General features: G+C 47.0%; 1 protein-coding gene and 1 long non-coding RNA gene across 2 annotated transcripts in view, besides 1 other annotated feature; both read right to left on the bottom strand.

Annotated features, from left to right (window-relative positions):
• On the bottom strand, positions 106 to 14,630 carry TNFRSF10C (TNF receptor superfamily member 10c). The gene is made up of 5 exons (NM_003841.5): positions 14,370 to 14,630; positions 5,726 to 5,831; positions 2,781 to 2,894; positions 1,935 to 2,043; positions 106 to 910 (listed from the first exon to the last, which is right to left on the bottom strand). The coding sequence occupies exons 1-5, from the start codon at positions 14,427 to 14,429 to the stop codon at positions 520 to 522; spliced, it is 780 nt and encodes a 259-aa protein (NP_003832.3). The 5' UTR covers positions 14,430 to 14,630; the 3' UTR covers positions 106 to 519.
• Positions 13,756 to 14,565: an enhancer, noted in NCBI's record as "H3K4me1 hESC enhancer chr8:22960499-22961308 (GRCh37/hg19 assembly coordinates)". NCBI's record gives its function as "activates a minimal SCP1, AML or CMV promoter by ChIP-STARR-seq in naive H9 embryonic stem cells {active_cell/tissue: H9 hESC(naive)}" and the evidence as "EXISTENCE:reporter gene assay evidence [ECO:0000049][PMID:30033119]".
• Positions 13,993 to 18,842, bottom strand: part of LOC254896 (uncharacterized) — a 19,204-nt gene continuing 14,354 nt past the window's right edge. The window contains exons 3-4 of the long non-coding RNA NR_046173.1: positions 16,867 to 16,914; positions 13,993 to 14,854 (exon numbers count right to left, since the gene is read on the bottom strand). This is a non-coding gene — a long non-coding RNA (uncharacterized LOC254896). The remainder of the gene's footprint in view (positions 14,855 to 16,866; positions 16,915 to 18,842) is intronic.

The raw sequence follows: 18,842 nt of genomic DNA, 5'->3' as shown, positions 1-18,842 counted from the left end.
AAGGAGCCCTGGGGCTGGGGACAGGAATGGGGCCTTGCAATTAGGGGACACCCTGAGGAAGGGGGATGAGAAGGGGAACTAGAGTAAAAACCAACACACGGAAAATCTCTGTGTTCTGCTCTGACCAAGGCTGAATAAATCCCGTGACCACTTCTCATCCTCACCCTTGTCACCCAGTTGAGGAGCCGACTGCCCCCTGCCTGGCTGGGCCTGAAGATGGGAGGAACTGGCCCTGCCCTCTTGGACTTGGCTGGGAGATGTGTGGACCCCCAGCTCCAGGAGAGGGACTGATGAGACCAGGGTCCTGGGGGGTGCACGGGATGTGGGGATGGGACGATCACAAGGAGGAAGATAGAGCCAGGCTGGAGACACCAGGACTTGGGGCAGGGGCAGGCGTTTCTGTCTGTGGGAACACAGCAGAGGGAGGCAGGGCAGAGAGTGTCCAGCGCCCCCCGCCCTCAGCCAGCGCCTACCTGAACCTTTCAGGTAAGGAAGGAATTTCTTCCACAGTGAAGTCTTTCAAACAAACACAATCAGAAGCACAATTAGAACTATGATCCCTACGATGGTGCATGAGAGGTAATGAGAAGAGGCAGGAGTCCCCGGGCTGGTGATCATTGTCTCTTCAGCAGCTGGGGCAGGAGTCCCCGGGCTGGTGGTCATTGTCTCTTCAGCAGCTGGGGCAGGAGTCCCCGGGCTGGTGGTCATTGTCTCTTCAGCAGCTGGGGCAGGAGTCCCCGGGCTGGTGTTCATTGTCTCTTCAGCAGCTGGGGCAGGAGTCCCCGGGCTGGTGTTCATTGTCTCTTCAGCAGCTGGGGTTTCCACAGTGGCATTGGCACCAAATTCTTCAACACACTGGATATCATCCCAGGACGTACAATTACTGACTTGGACTTCCCCACTAGGGCACCTGGGTACACACAGAGAGGGAGGTGAGGACTCCTGAGGGAAAGCTAGCCAGGTGGGATAAAAGGGGAGCCACCCTCCCTCTCCAATGTCCCTGAGAAGGTGTCAGGGGAAGGACAGGCTCCTGTCTGGAGGGGGTCCCCCAAGTTCCCTCGTTGAGGCTGGGGAAGGGTCTGAGCATGCGCATTTCAGCCCCTCAGCCTCCCTGCTCTGGGGCCACAGGAGCCTTCTGTGCCGGGCACACACTGAGCTTCCCTGGGCTGCAGAGGAGGCCTGCGTTAGGAGGAGCCACACTCCAGGGGAAGGTCACGAGCCCTTGTGGCCACAAGCTGAGCCCCTTCCTCCAGTCAACCCACAGTACAAGTGATCTCTCACCCCCAACTGTCTGCTGGTTCCTCCCTATCACGGCAAACATTAGGGGGCCAGAGAAGAACAAATTACTCTTGGCCCTTAAAGCCCAAATAGGGAAAAGACAGGACTTATTGAGGGATTGGGGCCAGGGGTGAGGCCGGCTGGATTGGCTCAGGCCTTCATGGGAACTTGAAGGAGCTCCACCCACAGCCTTCTTATGACTTTTGTCGGCCGTGACCACTTTTGTCTTTATGGGTCCTGCCTGCATAAAAAATATTAAAAAGAACATTTTTTAAAACAGCTTGGTATAGCAACAAATACAACCCAGACTGGATTCAAGTGTTTTCTTCTCATTTCAAAAGGAAATCGCATTTCCTAGGTTTGCTGAAAAGGATCAAGGGATCCAGAAAGTTGCTTCTTGTGCCCAGTGAACAAGTTGGTCTGGCCAAGGGGACTCGTGCTGGGGAGGGTCTGGGAAGGGGCTGCTGCAGGGGGTAGGGGTGGGGACAGGCAGATGGACCAGGAGCGGCCACTGCAGACCCAAGAGACCCCACAGGCTCAGGGACACCCCATGGGTCTGGAGGCTCCATAGGGTCAGCGGAGAAATAGGGGTACCAGGTGACTCAGGTCTTCTCGGGTTCCTGAAAGCTGTCAGGAGCCCCTGACTGCTGTCTCACCTGCTACACTTCCGGCACATCTCTGGGGAGTTTTCATTCCGGAAGGTGCCTTCTTTACACTGACACACTGTGTCTCTGGTCATGGTGCAGGAACTTTTATGTTTTTGATCTGACAACAGAGCATAAGGTTTTGGGAATGTGTTTCCCTGATGTATCCCTCGATCTTCCTTACCACCCACCCCCTCCCACTCAGCTCAACCAAGTTCACCAAGGAGTTCTAAGGGCCAGTTTCTGCACCAGCACACTCAGGGCTCATACAGGACACCCACCCTTCAGCTGTCACCAGCACTCAGAGGAGTCATAAAAAGGAGCATAATTCATTATTTATTACATCAGATTAGGGGAAAAGCATTGTTTAGATGGCATGGTCAGTAGCAAGGGAGGTGCAAGGGCATCACCTGAGAGACTCTGCAAGGAGACGGAGGCCTTGGGGGACTTCCCCAAAGCCTGGGCCTGCTGGGGAGGAGGAAGGGGCCTGAGAACCTGAAGGCTGAGTGAGGCCGAGCACCTGCCAGGAGCACAGAGCCTGGGGGAGAGAGCCTGGCCCTGGAGCAGACCCGTGCCACTACTGAAACCTAGCCCTGTCCACTGGGCCAGGCCTTCTCTATGCTCTAATGATCCCCCCACCCTCTTGCAGCTGACAGTTTAGACGATTTCCCAGCCAGGTGGCATGCATTATAGAAAAGATTTCTTTCTATTTTTTTAATCAGTCAAATATATAATCATAGAACAGGGTGATGAAGACCAGGTTGGGCTGGAACTTGGTTCCCTGACTCATATCGGCTACAACTCCCACCTCATTGCCCCACGCTCCACCTCTGGACAAGAGGTCCACACATTCTGTACCTGATTTACAAACTGTACATGGGAAGCAAGAAGGTTCATTGTTGGAAGCGTTGGTGTAATCCACACCCTCTGTGCACGGGTTACAGGCTCCAGTATGTTCTGATCTATGAGATCCTGGGAAGGAAGAGAAAAGCCAATGAATGAGTCACCACAGAATTCCCAGAGGCTGACAGTGGTGGGGAAACTTCTTTTTTGGCCCTCACTGGAATTGAGACAGAGAAATCCACTCTTCCAGGCTTGGTCTTGTCATCCATTCAGCATCTATTACATACCTTTGACTGGCACTGCTGACAGAAATATAATACAAAATTCAAATTCTATGCAAAATTCAAATTCTATGAGAGCCATATTAAAATAGTAAAAAGAATGAGGCCAAATTAATTTTAACAATATAGTTTTAACCTAAAATATCTGAAATACTACATTTCAACATGTAATCAATACACATCATTGAGATATTTTACTTTTTTTACGCCGTCACTCACAAAATAACATCCAACCTACTGTACATGTGATCTGCCCATGCTGGTCCACCTGACCTGTTTGCTGTCCACTCACCACAGTGGCCCCCTGTCTTCGCTCAGTCTCCCCAAGCCCCCGAAACCTGGGGTTCTCATTCCTTCAGGGCCTTCTCAAGAGCACTCTTCCTGGCTCTCTGCAAGACTGGCCCTGTCCAACTTTAAATATCAGCCCAAATCACCATCCCCGAGAGGCCCCACCAACCTTGTCTATCTCCTGTCACTTAACTATTCTTCATGGTTCCCATCAGGACATCCTGACTGTTATGTATATTCATGTGTCTTTTTTTTTTTTTTTGAGACAGAGTCTTGCTCTGTCACCTGGCTGGAGTGCAGTGGCACAATCTCGGCTCACTGCAACCTCCAACTCCCTGGTTCAAGCGATTTTTCTGCCTCAGCCTCCCGAGTAGCTGGGATTATAGGCGACGCACCACCACGCCCAGATTTGTATGGAACTACAAAAGACCTCAAATAGCCAAAGTGATCTTAAGCAAAACAAACAAAAGAACAAAGATGGAGGCATCGTACTACCTGATTTTAAAACGTGTTACAAAAGTATAGTAATCAAAACTGAATGGTAATGGCACAACAATGGTAAATAAACTGATGGAACAAAATAGTGAACCCAGGTATAAATCAATGCATTTACAGTTGATTGATTGTGAGAAAGATACCAAGAACACAAAATGGGGAAAGGACAGCTCTTCAATAAATGGTGTTGAGAAAAGTAGGTATTGACATGCAGAAGAATGAAATAAGACCTTTATCTCACATCATATGTAAAAATTAATTCAAAATGGACTAAAGATTAAAACATAAGATCTGAAATGGTAAAACTACCACAAGAATACATAGGGGAAAATTTTCATGATGTTGGTCTGGGCAATGGTTTCTTGACTATGACCCCAAAAGCACAGGCAACAAAAGGAAAAACAGACAAATGAGGTTACATTACACTAAAAAGGTTCTGCATGACAAAGGAAACAATGAACAGAGTGAAGAGACAACCTACAGAATGAGGGTCAATATTCAAAAGATCCAAGATTTTGGTTAAAATCCAAAATACACAGGAACTCAAACATCTCAATAGCACACAATCAAATAATCCAAGTAAAATGGATACATGGGCGTGGGACCTGAATAGACACTTCTCAAAAGGAGACATAGAAGTGGCCAAAAAGTATATGAAAAAAATGCTCAGCATCACTAACCATCAAGTGCCAAATATCACTTCACACCTGTAAGAATGGCTATTACCAAAAAGACAAAAGGTAACAAGTGTTGATGATGGGGAGAAAAAGGAATGCTGGTACACTGTTGGTGGGAATGGAAATTAGTACAGCCATTATGGAAAACAGTATGGAGGTTCCTCAAAAAACAAAAAATAGAACAACTATATGATCTAGCAATCCCACTATTGGGTATACATCCAAAGGAAATGACGTCAGTATATTGAAGAGATATCTTCCCTCCCATATGCATTGGAGCATTATTTACAATGGTCAAGACATGGAATCAACCTACGTGTCCATGGATGGATGAAAAGTTAAAGAAAATGTGACACATAGATACAATGGAATACTATTCAGCCTTTAAAAAGAAGGGAGTTCTGTCATTTGTGTCAGCATGGATGAAGCTGGAGGATACTATGCTAAGTGAAATAAGCCAGGCACAGAAAGGCAAACACCTCATGATCTCACATATGTGGAATCAGAAAAAGTTGGTCTCATAGAGGTGGAGAGCAGAATGGTGATTACCAGGGCTTGAGTTGGATGGTGGGATGGGGAGATGTTAGTCAAAGGATACAAAATTTCAGTTAGACAGGGAGAATAAATTCAAGAGATGTATTGTGTGACATGGCGACTACAGTTATTAAAACAATGTGTTGTACAGTCCTGCCTTCTATCCACAGGGAATATATTCCATGGAACAAACTCTGCATATACTCAAGTCCCTGATATAAATTGGGATAGTATTGCATAAAACCCACGCACATATGCTTTAAATCATCTCTAGATTACTTGTAATACCTAATGCAATAGACATGCTATGTAAATAAGTGCTATACTGCATTGCTTTTTATCTGCTTTTATTGATGTATTATCATTTTTATTTCTTCCGCATATTTTTGATCTGTGGTTTGTTGCAACCATGGATACAGAACCCATAGATAAGGAAGGCTACAGAACCCACAGATAAAAAGGGCAAAGAGGGCTTATCCCAGGGCTCTGTATCCATACAGCTGAAAATTGCTGAGCAGATTTTTAAGTGTTCTTACCACGAATACATGATTAAGTATGTGAATTAGCTTGATTTAGCCATTCCACAATGCGTACATATTTCAAAACATCATGGTGTACATCATAAATACATACAATGTTTATCTGTCAATTAAAAATAAACTGATTTTTAAAAATAAGAGTGCACCTGCTGGACACTCCTCCCCCTTGAAGCTGTGCCTCTGTTGCTGTGGGGCCACTGTCTGCTGGGGAACTTCCTCCTGCCGGGCAGTGGTGGCAGAGTAAGCTAGGACCTGTGGGGACAAAGGAGTGATGGGTGTGAGTGACTTCCAGACCTCACCCCTCCCAGGCTCCATCTCACATTCCCTTCACCCCAAGTGACAAAACCCATCAGAGCTTGGACATTTTTTCCAGCTCCAAACTTTCATTCTTTCATACCTGTGTTTGTCCCTTGGCCTGTTAGGGCCAGCTATTTTCTATAAAAAAAAAAAAAAATACAGGCAAGCGCGATGGCTCAAGCTTGTAATCCCAGCAATGTGGAAGTCTGAGGCAGGTGGATCACAAGGTCAAGAGATCGAGACCATCCTGGCCAACACGGTGAAACCCTGTCTCTACTAAAAATACAAAAATTAGCTGGGTGTGGTGGCACACACCTGTAATCCCAGCTACTCAGGAGGCTGAGGCAGGAGAATAGCTTGAACCTGAGAGGCAGAGGTTGCAGTGAGCCAAGATCGCGCCATTGCACTCCAATGTGGTGACAGTGCGAGACTCCATCTCAAATAAAAAAAAAAAAGAAAAAATGAAAAGAAAAAGAAAAACACTTATGTATCCTTTTCTCATATTATAACATAAATTTACCCCAGATAATGGGAGCAAGAAGAGCTATTTTGTTTTTTTGATACAGAGTCTTGCTATGTTGCCCAGGCTGGAATGCAGTGGCTATTCACAGGTGTGATCATATCTTACTATAGGCTTGAACTCCTGGCCTGAAGTGATCCTCCTGCTTCAGTCTCCCAAGAAATGTGGATAAGAGGCACATGCCACCATGGTTGGAAAGAAAAGATTTTATAAGAATTTTAAAAAACCACACACATATGAGCCCTTCATGCAGAAATAGCATTTAATATATTTAGTTTCACCAAGTGTTTAATTGACCAATAGGTGAATTCTGTCTCTCACTCACACACACACAAATACACACAGACACACACTTAAACATACTCAGCTTTACAAATGAAGGTTATAATATATATAACCTTACAGAAAGTCAGGATATAGCATCAAACATTAAGTAATTAATTACTGCTTTACAAAGGACCTTGTCAAGCTGCTCCCACTAAATATCAAAGAGTGACAAAAAAGATGAAACAGCAATTCAGGGATTCTGGCCATGATCTCTATGTTATAAATGACAACTAGAAGACAACTGGAGAAATCGGAATAGAGTGCGGATAGATAGTGGTAATGTGTTGATGTTAATTTCCTTGTTTGTAGAAAGTACACACTAAAGAATTCAATAATAGCTTTCATCATGCCAACAGCCATTTTTTCAAATGTTTTTATTGTATAGTTTTTGTAACTTTTCTTTAAGTTGGGAGTGTTTTAAAGTAGGAAATTAATTTAAGCAAAACCAAAATGGTTACAATGAAAGCTGCTTATGTTGGGCTCAGTTCAACTGCCTGGATCTAAACAAGACAAAATGTAGCTTTCTTCCACATCAAAGCCTGACTAGCAGTTGGTGACAGTGAAGCTAACCCACTTTTCCCAAATCATTCTTTCCCGGGTTGGAGTCCCTCTAGGTTCAGGCGATGTCTGCGTCTCCTTTCTCTGCTCTCACACTCTTACTCCCTCTCATTTAATGAGGGGTTTATTAGTGTTTTTTAAAATCCTTTCAGAAGACCAACTTTTCATTTTGTCTTTTTTTTTTTTTTTTTTTTTTTTTTGGAGACAGGGTCTCCCTCTGTCCTCCATGTTGGAGCGCAGAGTGCAGTGGTGTAATCTCGGTTCACTACAACCTTTGCCTCCTCTGCCTCCCAGGCTCAAGTGGTCCTGCCACCTCAGTCCCCAAAGACAGGTGTGTGCCACAACGCCCATCTAATTTTCACATATTTTGTAGAGCTGGGGTTTCGCCATGTTGCCCAGAGTGGTTTAACTCCTGAGCTCAAGTGATCTGCCTGCCTGGGCCTCCCAAAGTACTGGGATTACAGGCGTAAGCCACCGCACACAGTTGGTTTTCTCAGTTCTTTCTGTGGTTTGTATTCTTTGATTTATGCTCCTTCCTGTTACTTTGTTTGGTTTAAATTTACACTTATATTTTATGATTGATTAATGTAGCTCCTCAGGCCATAATTTTCTTTTTCTTTTTCTTTTTTTTTTTTGAGATGGAGTCTCGCTGTCTCCCAGGCCGGAGTGCAGTGGCACAATCTCGGCTCACTGCAAGCTCCACCTCCCAGGTTCATGCTATTCTCCTGCCTCAGCCTCCCAAGTAACTGGGACTACAGGTGCCCGCCACCACGCCTGGCTAATTTTTTGTATTTTTAGTAGAGACAGGGTTTCACCGTGTTAGCCAGGATGGTCTCGATTTTCTGACCTCGTGATCCACCCTCCTCGGCCTCCCAAAGTGCTGGAATTACAGATGTGAGCCACCGTGCCCGGCCCATAATTTTCACGTTTTTTCTTTTTTTGACAGCTTTAGTGAGACACAATTCACATAATTAATAATTATGATTATTCATATAATTCACCCATTTAAAGTCCACACTTCAGCAGTTTTTAATATACTCATAGCTATGCAATCATCACTATAATCAATTTTAGAATATTTTTATCACTCCAGAAAGGAACTACATACCCTTCAGCAGTAACTCCCCATCTCCCTAACCCCCAGTTTTTTAATACAAACATTGAAAGCTGTATATTTCACCCTGAGCACTGTTAGCTATTTCGCACCACTTTTGATGTGTTATATTGTCATTATTACTTACTTTGAAATATCTTACCTTCCCTTTTGATTTCCTGTCTGAACCACAGATTTTTAGAAGTGTGTTGTTCAATATCAAAATTTTAGAATTCTCTGTGGATATTGTTACTGATTTCCAGTTTAGTTTCATTAAGTTTAGAGATCATATTGTGTGTTTTATAGCCCAGAACCTGGTCTATCTTGGTGAAAGTATCATGAGCATAGAAAGGAATGAGTGTTCAGTGAATGTTCCACTCCTGCTCTTTAAATGTCAGTTAAATCAAGGTGGTTGATAGTGTGCAGATCGCTTGCCACTTTACTGGCATTTTCATCTAATCATGCTAGCAAGTGCAGAGAAACAGCTGAGTTAATCTCTTTTTAATTCTATTTTTGTGTCATGTGTTTTGAAGATGTATTACTAGGCATATACAATTTGTTGTTATTATACTCCTTGAAGAATTAACCCTTTTAACTACAAAGGTCCCTTTTCATCTCCCATAATATTCAATGTCCTAAAATTGTCACAGTAGGCAGCTAGTTAGGTATGAGCAGGACAGGAGAGGGGTCCCCGCTTCTGACACCAGCAGTGTTGGGCGACCATCAGGTAGTTGATAACTGTGTCTCTAAAGTAATAACTGGTTACAGCCGATGCCAGAAAAAAGCAGTTTCCTAATACATAGAAAACACTTGAAACTGATCAGCAGCTTCCCAATAAGATTTCAGGAGTGGGGAGAAGTAAGGCAAGATCCTGGAAGTAGGCCAACCTATAAAACCCCAACTCAGGCGGTCCGGCTGCGTACTGTTTCTCAAGTCACCTGCTTGGCCATCTTCCAAGTGTACTTTCCTTCTTTTCTTTCTGTTCCTTCCTTTCCTTCCTGTTCCTTCCTTTCCTTCCTGTTCTAAAGCTTTTTAATAAACTTTCACTCCTGCTCTGAAACTTGCCTCCATCTCTGCTTCTGCCTTATGCCCCTCAAACCAGTTCTTTCTTCTCAGGAGGCGAAGAGCTGAAGGTGCTGTGGACGCATACGGATTCGCCGCCTTCAACGTAGGGTAACTCGGATCTCATCCACCGCTAACAAAATCAACTTCATCTGATACTGAGATAGCCATGGCAGTTTTCTTGGCCTTACACTCTGCATGGTGTATCTTTTTCCATCTATTTACTTTCAACAGACAACATCTGTGTCTTCCTTTTAAGGCCCATCTCATATAGACAAGATATAGTTGAGTCTTGCTTTCTCAGCCCTTCCAAACATTTCTACCATTGAACTGTAGTGCTCAGTGGATTTACAGGGAGTGCAATAATTGATATAGTTGAAATAGACCTGTAAGTTTACCATTTAAGCTATGATTGTCTAGTCTAATTTTTTTACTCCTTTTCCCCCTGCACATTTTAATGTTAATTACCTTTTAGAATTCCATTTTAATTGGATAAACTGACTTTTTATGCATACCTATTTCCATGATCTATGTGCAAGTGCTATAGGGAATACAGTATACACTCAAGTGTTTACATTCTATTGAAGGTTTTTTAAAAATGGATTCATTGAGGTATAATGGGCATGAAACAAAGTGTACATTTTTGAAGCATGTAGTTTGGTAGATTGAGACGTGTGTATACATTGTGGAACTACCACCACGATAAGAAAATGACATGTCCACCACACCCCAGAATTTCTTCATTCTTCAATGTAATCCTCTCTTCCGCTTTGCTCCTATGTCCCCAGCAATAATTCTGCTTTTTGTCAGAATAGATTGGTCGAATTTTAATGAGAAATGGAATCAGATGGTAAGCATTCTGTGTGGATTCCTTCACACGACATAATTTTCTGTGTTTTTCTGTTTTTCTGTTTGTTTGGTTTTTTGTTGTTGTTGTTGTGACCGGGTTTTGCTATGTTGCCCTGGCTGGTCTTGAACTCCTGGGCTCAAGTGATCTGCCTGTCTTGGCAGGACTACAGGTGTGAGCCATCGCACCCTGCCCACCCTGGTCAATTGACTATTATGAATTAAAGGCTATTGAAAAACAACAGGTGCAAGAAGATCCTTTGACCTCTTTTGTGTTTCCTAAAAGCAGGAGATGAAAGTCCCCAGGGAAACATAGGACAATCTCCTTTTTTTTTTTTTCTGAAAGCTCTGCTTCCCAGGTTCTCACCATTCTCCTGCCTCAGCCTCTCCAGTAGCTGGGACTACAGGCACCCGCCACCACACTCCGCTAATTGTTTTGTATTTTCAGTAGAGACGGGGTTTCACTGTGTTAGCCAGGATGGTCTCGATCTCCTGACCTCGTGATCCACCTGCCTTGACCTCCCGAAGTGCTGGGATTACAGGCGTGAGCCACCGCACCCAGCTGACAATTTCCTTATTTTTAAGGATGAGAAGTCGAGGCCAAGAGGGTACTGTGCAGACCATGTTAGAATGGATCCACTCTCATCTTTTTAGCTCCTCACATAGTTACTTGCTTCTTCATGAGTTACTTGGTCTAATTCAGTAAATAAGTAACTGACTCTCACAGGTTCTTCCATGCCAGGTAAAACTTGAATTAAATAAATGTGTGTGCTTGTCTCCTGTGGACCTCTCTTAGGTGAATCAAATTCTCAGGCCCAGCTAAAAAAAAAAAAAAAAAAATCGGGTGGGGGGGCATCTAAAGGAGAGCTTCGCTCCCCTCCCTGACCCTCAATGGTGACTGTAATCAAACCACATCTTCCAGGCCAACAGTACCACATCCTATGGCCCTGCAACAGCATGGCCTCTCTCCAGCACAGCCTCTCTGGAGGAGGGGGAGGCAAGGGTAGTGAGATCTCAGGCCTCCTTCATGCTACCTCCTATTAGTTATATAATCCCTGGGTCACCTCTCCCACCACACTGCGGGCTCCAGGGAACAGGATTCACATGGGGTTCATTTGTCCTCCCAAACTCCGGCGGACTCCAGGCACAGGTGTTCTCAGAGTAAAGGGCTCACTGTTTACTTCCTGGATGAATCACTTTCCCCTCAAGCCTATGAAGTGCGCGCAGTTGTGGCCTCAGCTCAAGGCCGAAGGACAGGCTCCAAGAGCCCTGTGAACTCTGCTGAGGAACCATAAGAGCTCCCAGAGGCCAAGGGCAGGACAGAGATCAGAGAAGCAGCTGCTCAGAGAACTCTAGCCCTGAATCTCATTTTACCACTTGTAAAACAGGAAAAACAACCTACCTTCATCTCCCCGGGTTGTTAGGAAATCCACTACATGAAGATGTGCATTCTCTGGCTGGAAGCAGGATACCAGCTGCCCAACGGCAGAGGCTCGGGGCATGGCACTGTCCCCACTGTCCCCATCCCTGACCTAGAAGCTAGAGCCTCACTGCCCTGCCACTCCTGGATACACGACAGAGGACCAGAACTGGGACTGTGGCCTCTCAGTACAGCCTGGGTGAGTAGCCATCTGCAGCCACCTGGATGGAGACATTTCCTGCTCACTCTTCAAACTACAACCCGGGCCAGGCGCCTACCAGAAGGACAACTGGAAGCATGGCAGGTAAACCAGGCTGTGGCCCTGCAGTGCCATCGCTGTCCTCACTTGACGTCTGGCTCCTCTGTTCCTCCATGGCCCCTCCCCGTGGTGCTCCACCCTAGTCTTCAGAAGCTTCTGCCCCAAGCTCAGGGAGCAAGTACCAGGGTGCAGGTAGGAACAGGGGCAGCCTCTGCTGGATGGAGGACAGGTGCCTGGGGATCCAGTCCAGAGTGAGTGACACCAGCCCTGAGGATGTGATTTGTCCTCCCACACCTGGTAACACAGCCCTCTGAGGTTTACACAGGGCTGCTGAAGATTTTTACCTCCTCTTCACTTTACAGGCAGGAGCTGGGGCCACACCAGAGTCACAGAGCCAGAGGGGGAGCACGGCAGGGCCCAGCCATTCACAACCTTCAATCTCAGGAGTCCTTGACAGCCTGAGAGTCCGAGATTCTGAGCCGTTGGAACTTCTCAATTCCTACTTTGATAGAGAGAGGAATGGTGTGGAAGGACCTGGCGCACAGATTGGACCAGCCCAGCATTGACAGAGCCAGGACCTGGGGTCAGGAACTGAACTCAGCTCCAGGCTCATCTGAAGTCACCCTGACAGGCTGAGGATGGAGACCTTATCTCCATTCACAGGCATGGTGGGTGGCAGGGACTGGCCCCAACTGACCAGGGTTTTCCAAGTGCACAGCTCAGAATTCAGTCTTCCCTGCTGTCTCATCTGGATACCCTGGTCTACTCCCAGTACCAAAAAACTCCTATATCCTTGAAAATTCCTAATACCATGAGGAAACAAAAATACATAGCAATGTGATGTGTTATGTTTTACATCTTAGACTAGTAAAGAATGAAAGCTAAGTGTAGCAAAGGTGTAGGGACACAGGCACATTTGTGGACTAGGTGTGACTGTAAGCTGGGTTCAGTGGTTTTTTGGAGGAAAATTCGTGAACATTTAAAGAAACTTCTGAAGTCATTTATCCCACAGAAGGAGAAGTAGAATTCAACTTGTAAGGAGTTGCCCAATAAGCTGGTGTGCATGGATATGTGGACACACGATACATACAAGGGTATTTAGTACAATGCTGTTGGAATTAGCAAAGGCCGTCAGGATGGGATCTAACCAGCTGCCCCTAGGCGGCAACAGTGAATTAAAATGTGGCTTACCCATGCAGTAAAATACAATACCCTTGTTTAAAAGAAGATCAATCTGAATGTACTGCCATAAAACATCTAATGTGATTTGTGTTAGCTCCAAAATTTAACAAAGTGATTGTACATTTAAATGCATTTAATAAGGCAAGACTGATGGAGGGATTAAAGCCTCCTTTGGGACGCATAGAGTTCACATTCCCAAAACCGTGAAACTGATGTTGCTGGCCTTGTCTACACTGGTCATCCATGCATTCTCTCTTCAGGGCCACTGTCCTGACACAGCCATTCTTCTAGCTGCCTCAGGTAAGTCCACCCACTATAAACTATTTTAAAAGTCAGTTGTGTAATTTTTGAGAGGTGAAAATGTTACTGCTTTTCTGAATTTAGCATTAATTTGTAGAAAGACAACATGCAAACTCTCATGGTTTCTGTAACCTTGCTTTGGCCTTTTCTTTTTCTTTTTTCTTTTTTTTGTATTACATAAAGAATCTTAAAAAGGGCTGTTAGCAAAAACCTCAATCAATCTGAAAGAGACCTAGAAGTCTGCATATTTTATACATAATATGTCCTTGCACTCACACTACTACCAATCTCAGTTTCCAAAGCCAACTCACAACAACTTTACACCGTTTATGCTGAAGGAAGGGGCCAGCCCCGGTCCTGCCTATGGGATACAGAGGGGACACACGGGTGGTAGTGGAAGACATTAACCAAGGCAGCACCTTGGTTAACCGCTTCCTGCCACATTCCGGCTTCCTGCCACTTTCAGGACAGAGGAGGTGAAAGTTGCTAAAGACAGCGCTGAAAAGTTTTTTCACTGGCTGTTGGTTAAACCGATCTCCAAGGAACACGTTTAAGAATGTAAACATGGGGTTAATTTTATTAACTAATTAATTAATTAATGAGAGAGGCAACCGCTCTGTGTCTTCAGGAGGCTCACTCTATGGGTTCCACCTTGACTCCCTCCCTCTCTCGATTCTGGAACTTCCCTCCCTTCGCGGGCTCGGGGCAGCCAGGGGGACCGCCTCTCTGCTCCCTCGCGGCCGGGTCCCTCCTGCCCAGCCCGGGGACCCAGTTCTTCCCCTGACTCCGACGGCGAGTTCGTCCTGCCCGGACATGCCCGGCCGCAGGTGACCAGGGCCAGGCATCCCTGCCGTGTCCCCGTCTCCCTGCCCCCTCCCGGCGCCAGGTGCGCTCTTCCCCAGCCAGGGACCGCGGCCGGGACTCACTGGCAGCAGGACCGCGACGATGACGACGACGAACTTTAGGGTCTTGGGGATCCGGGCCATGGTATGGTTCCCGACGCCGTCCTGGGTCCTGGGTCGCACCCTGCCTCGGCCATCAGGCGGCCGGGGCGCTCTGTCCCCAGAGTTCCCTAACGGTAGGAAGCGCTCCTTCACCCCTTGCATCTCTGGTCAAACTCCCAAAAATCTATCAGAAATCGTTGGCTGAGTTCGTGCGCGTGGAGAGGTTCCCACAGCTGCACTGCCAGAATCGGAGCGCAGCGCCTCTGAATTTATACCCGCGGGGGAAAAGGCGTGGTCACTTGTCACTTGCAGCAGTCACTTCCAAGCACTCAGAAAAGGGGCATGGCCTCCCCTAGCACCTCCAGGAAGGCCTGGGTTTTGGTGGTGGGTGCATGGACGGACAGGAACTGGCTCTTTCCGGCAGCGGTGACCCAGGGCCTGCGGTTTGATTCCGGGTCCTGTCCAGGCTGTAGGCAGCAGAAGGGGAAGGAGCTGAGGCGCTGCCCACTGCGCTGCTGTAGTCTGGGTAGTGAGCTCCAGAGGAGGCACTGGAGGCCCATCCTGAGCCTGCTCCCTCCCCGGGACGCCTGTCTCTCCTCTTCTTAAACCCTGAACTACCTCCTGGCCTAAGGACTTCAGTCCACTCTTAGCTTCTGCTCCCACTCCCTCCTCCCACAGCGGCCTCACTGACCAGTGCACTGATGCCACTGATGTCTCCAGCCTCCTTGCTGCTGTGACCCAGCTCCAAGCTTCTCTGGCAGGGGCTTGGTATCCCTCAGTAGCGGGTGCCTGGCACCAAGGAGGGGCCCAGTGAACACATGAGTGGACAGAATGAAGGACACAGGGGCCATGACGGGCACATGCAGAGGCTGAGGAGTAGGTAGGAGGGAGAGGAACCCCGGGGGCATCCCTAGCCACAACCTGGCACCCTTTGCATGGTCGAGGCACAGACACTCTCTGGCCGACCTTGTGGGCTCTAGTATTGAGGCCCCATGGACAGAGGAGGCCCAGGGGAGTGGCTTCCAAAGCCTGTCCCCCAGTCAAGTGTCTATCCAGGTCCAACTATCTGACCTTGGGCTACTCACCTCCCCATTGAGTTAAGCACACTGCTGCTGTGTGGAGAGATCCAATGTGTGGTACTGAAGGGTGCCAGCCTGTGACCCTAGGCAGTAAGGTCAATGGCACAACTCCTAGACCCTTGGGGTGAGTCGGCTCCTGACCTCTCACATGGTGGATAAAAGAGGATAGCACTATAGAAACAAAGATTTTTTTTTCTGCTCATCAGAAACCTGGGAATGATATGTCATCCTCTCCACAGGCTTGGATTTGAGCAATGGAGTGCCCTGGGCACCTGCCAGGCCCCAGGCACTGAGTTCGGATCAGAAATGTGTGCCAGGTCGCAGGCACTGAGAAATGTGTGGAGTCAGGAATGTGTGCTGGGGGCAGATCTAGGCAGGAGGTGAGAGGACAGGACTTCAGGAAGACTGACAGCATTAACACAGAGCCACGAGGGCCTGCAGGAAAGTCTTTAGAGCACTCCAGGCCCCTTGGCCCTGGAGGGTGGACTACACAGTGTAGACTAGAAACCAGACTGCAGGTAACACACATTCTCTGTGCCCTGTGTGGAGCACTGCCTAGGGCTAATGGCAAAAGGCTGTGAGCACCTCCAGGGAACTGGGCCTTTAGACTATAAAGTTTCCATTTGAGAGGCACTTACTAGCTTACGATGGAACACTAGCTGAAGCTCCCCCTGTGACTGAAGGACATAAAATAATCTTGAAACCTGAAAAACTCATGATGTCTTCAGAGATCTTGGAAAAGCTCTAACGGGGAGGGCAGTCCCCGAAGAGTTCTATTACAAAATGGAAATGGTTGATACGGGATCCTGGTGCCTGAGGAAGGCAAAGAGGAGACACTCATGAGCAGGGAGCCTCTGTTCCCCACAGACTGAGTCTGGAACTGAGTGAGGAGCTGCTGGATTCTGTGGTCACTTGGACACTGCCCTATACGCAGCTCTTTACTGACCAACCAAGAGCTACTTAGTTTGTAGACAGTCATTCCTAGGTGAATGGTCAACATCCTATTTGGAAGGCCACCCCTCTGATGGAAGAAGGCAAAGGCAAATTGGCTAGGTGGGTTGGATTGCATGCTGTTTTCCTAGCGTGATGGAAGATTTGACAGCAGCAAAAGCCCCTGTACTTGAGTTGTTTTCTGGCTCATGAACAGTCCTCAACGTCTTGGTCATAGAGTTGGGAAGCAGAATGTGAAAGTTGATTGCACAAATTGGGTCATTCTTGTCACACCCAACTAAAACAGAGTCAAGAGGCCATGGGGAAGAAAAATCACTGTATTACCCCCAAACTGCAATTCTCTGTAAGCCTGGCAGCTGTAACCTGAAACTATTAATAGTCCTATCTAATATCTATGGACATAACCTGCTACTGCTCTAAGACCAGCCTGACCCACTGCAGTCACTCACCAGTCAGAGCACGCCTCTTCTTCAAATTTGACAGTGCCAATGAGCTTCCTAGAAAAAAAAATAATTAGTATTTCTCCTTTTTTTTTTTTTTTTTTTTGAGATGGAGTCTCGCTGTGTCACCCAGACTGGAGTGCAGTGGTGCGATATCGGCTCACTGCAAGCTCTGCCTCCTGGGTTCACGCCATTCTCCTGCCTCAGCCCCCCAAGTAGCTGGGACTACAGGTGCCTGCCACCACGCCCAGCTAATTTTTTTGTGTTTTTAGTACAGATGGGGTTTCATCGTGTTAGCCAGGATGGTCACGATCTCGTGACCTCGTGATCCGCCCGCCTTGGCCTCCCAAAGTGCCAGGATTACAGGCATGAGCCACTGCACCTGGCCAGAATTTCTCCTTTTAAAAAAGCCTCTAAACTTCTCTTTTTGGTCTTTGGACATATCAAAGACAAGTTGGTCTTTGTATATGCCAAGCATTGCAATTCTTGCTTTTCAAATAAAGTGTATTAAATTTGGATATTCGTCTCTACATTCCCCATTGTTTCCAAGAATAATGGAAAACTGGCCTATTGAAGGGATGTCCATATGAGGCCTGACCCCATGGCAATCTCTAGGGGGACTTGAGGAGCGCATTAAAGTAGGACACATCCATACTGCTCAGTAGAACCTGCCTCAGGTTTGGAAAGTGATTGACATCAGCAAGAGATACCACCCACCATGTACTCCCTTGAGGTGGTCACCAGAGGCCATTAAATAAAAGGAGTGGTTATGGGGGAACCACAGTGATGCAGAGATGGGCTGAATCGAAACACATTCCTCTTGCTCTCTCTCAGGCACATAATGCCAATAAGAGCTGTTCTGTCTAGCAGCGGGAGAGACACAGACTGCCTATAGCTATGAGGCAGATTCCCTGATGGGGAGGCCCTCAACATACTTGGAAAGTGAGACTGAGGGCAGTGCCCTGGGGGGTACAGGTGAGTCTTGACAGGAACAGAAACTGACTGTGGATTGTCTTTTGCTTACCTGGTGGAGGCTGCAAATGCCCAGAGTGCTATTAATATAAAAGAACTGAAATAAGGTATTATTCTAGTTTGGACCACTAAGTCGCACTTCCTTGGACCAAGAAACATGCCGTTCAGTGCATAATGTTTAGCAATGGGCAGAGAGATACCCTCCTTAGAGTAATAATTTGACAGGGAAGCAGAACAGTCAACTGAAACATTGATTGTCTAAAATGGGGGGAGACACAGGCATGAAGGGCTGGCTTCCACACCTTCACTGGTGTGTGCCCCTACTCCACACGAGTGGGCTAAAGGAGTGTCCCCACCAGACTTTCCTCCATTTTTCCAGTGGATCTGGGGATGAGGAGGTAGGGAGGATGCTAGTGTGATGACTGTCATTTTGTTGGTGGTGGTGGTGGTGGTGGTAGTGGTTTTTTTTTTTTTTTTGAGACACAGTCTCGCTCTGTTGCCCAGGCTGGAGTGCAATGGCATGATCTTGGCTCACTACAAACTCCACCTCCTGGGTTCAAGTGATTCCCCTGCCTTAGCCTCCCGCCACCACGCCCAGCTAATTTTTATATTTTTAGCAGAGACGGGGTTTCACTGTGTTGGTCAGGCAGGTCTCAAACTCCTGACCTCGGGTAATCTACCTGCCTTGGCATCCCATAAGTGCTGAGATTATAGGCATGAGCCACAGCGCCCGGCCAGTGACCGTCATTTTTGTCTGTCTTCCCTGTATTACCTCACCTCTCCCCTTCTCCCCACCCACCACCTGGTACCTTGGCCACAGGGCCAGGGCTACAACTATAAACGCTGGAAGCAGCGACGACCCCTAAGCCAGGAACAGACTACGTGTTTAGACTTTTCTGTCAATTTTCTTATGGACCTGATGGGACCCCAGTCTTGCAAAACTGGGGCTAACAGTAAATGCAGCTACATAGCCTGATACAGTTTGCATGTGTGTCCCCTCCAAATGTCATATT

This window comes from Homo sapiens, chromosome 8 (genome assembly GCF_000001405.40).
Source record: "Homo sapiens chromosome 8, GRCh38.p14 Primary Assembly".
Taxonomy (NCBI): Eukaryota; Metazoa; Chordata; class Mammalia; order Primates; family Hominidae; genus Homo; species Homo sapiens.
The sequence above is the reverse complement of the archived record's forward strand: the minus strand, read 5'-3'. Positions and strand labels throughout refer to the sequence as shown.

What these genes read in the sequence shown, in the direction of transcription:
- TNFRSF10C (NM_003841.5), bottom strand. Translation starts at nt 14,429, where the DNA reads ATGGCCCGGATCCCCAAGACCCTAAAGTTCGTCGTCGTCATCGTCGCG. An exon ending in GGGGGAGGAGTGTCCAGCAG is followed by an intron (nt 2,895 to 5,725) that starts GTGCACTCTTAT and finishes CTTCCTTCCCAG; the next exon opens with GATCTCATAGATCAGAACAT. An exon ending in ATGTACAGTTTGTAAATCAG is followed by an intron (nt 2,044 to 2,780) that starts GTACAGAATGTG and finishes CTCTGTTGTCAG; the next exon opens with ATCAAAAACATAAAAGTTCC.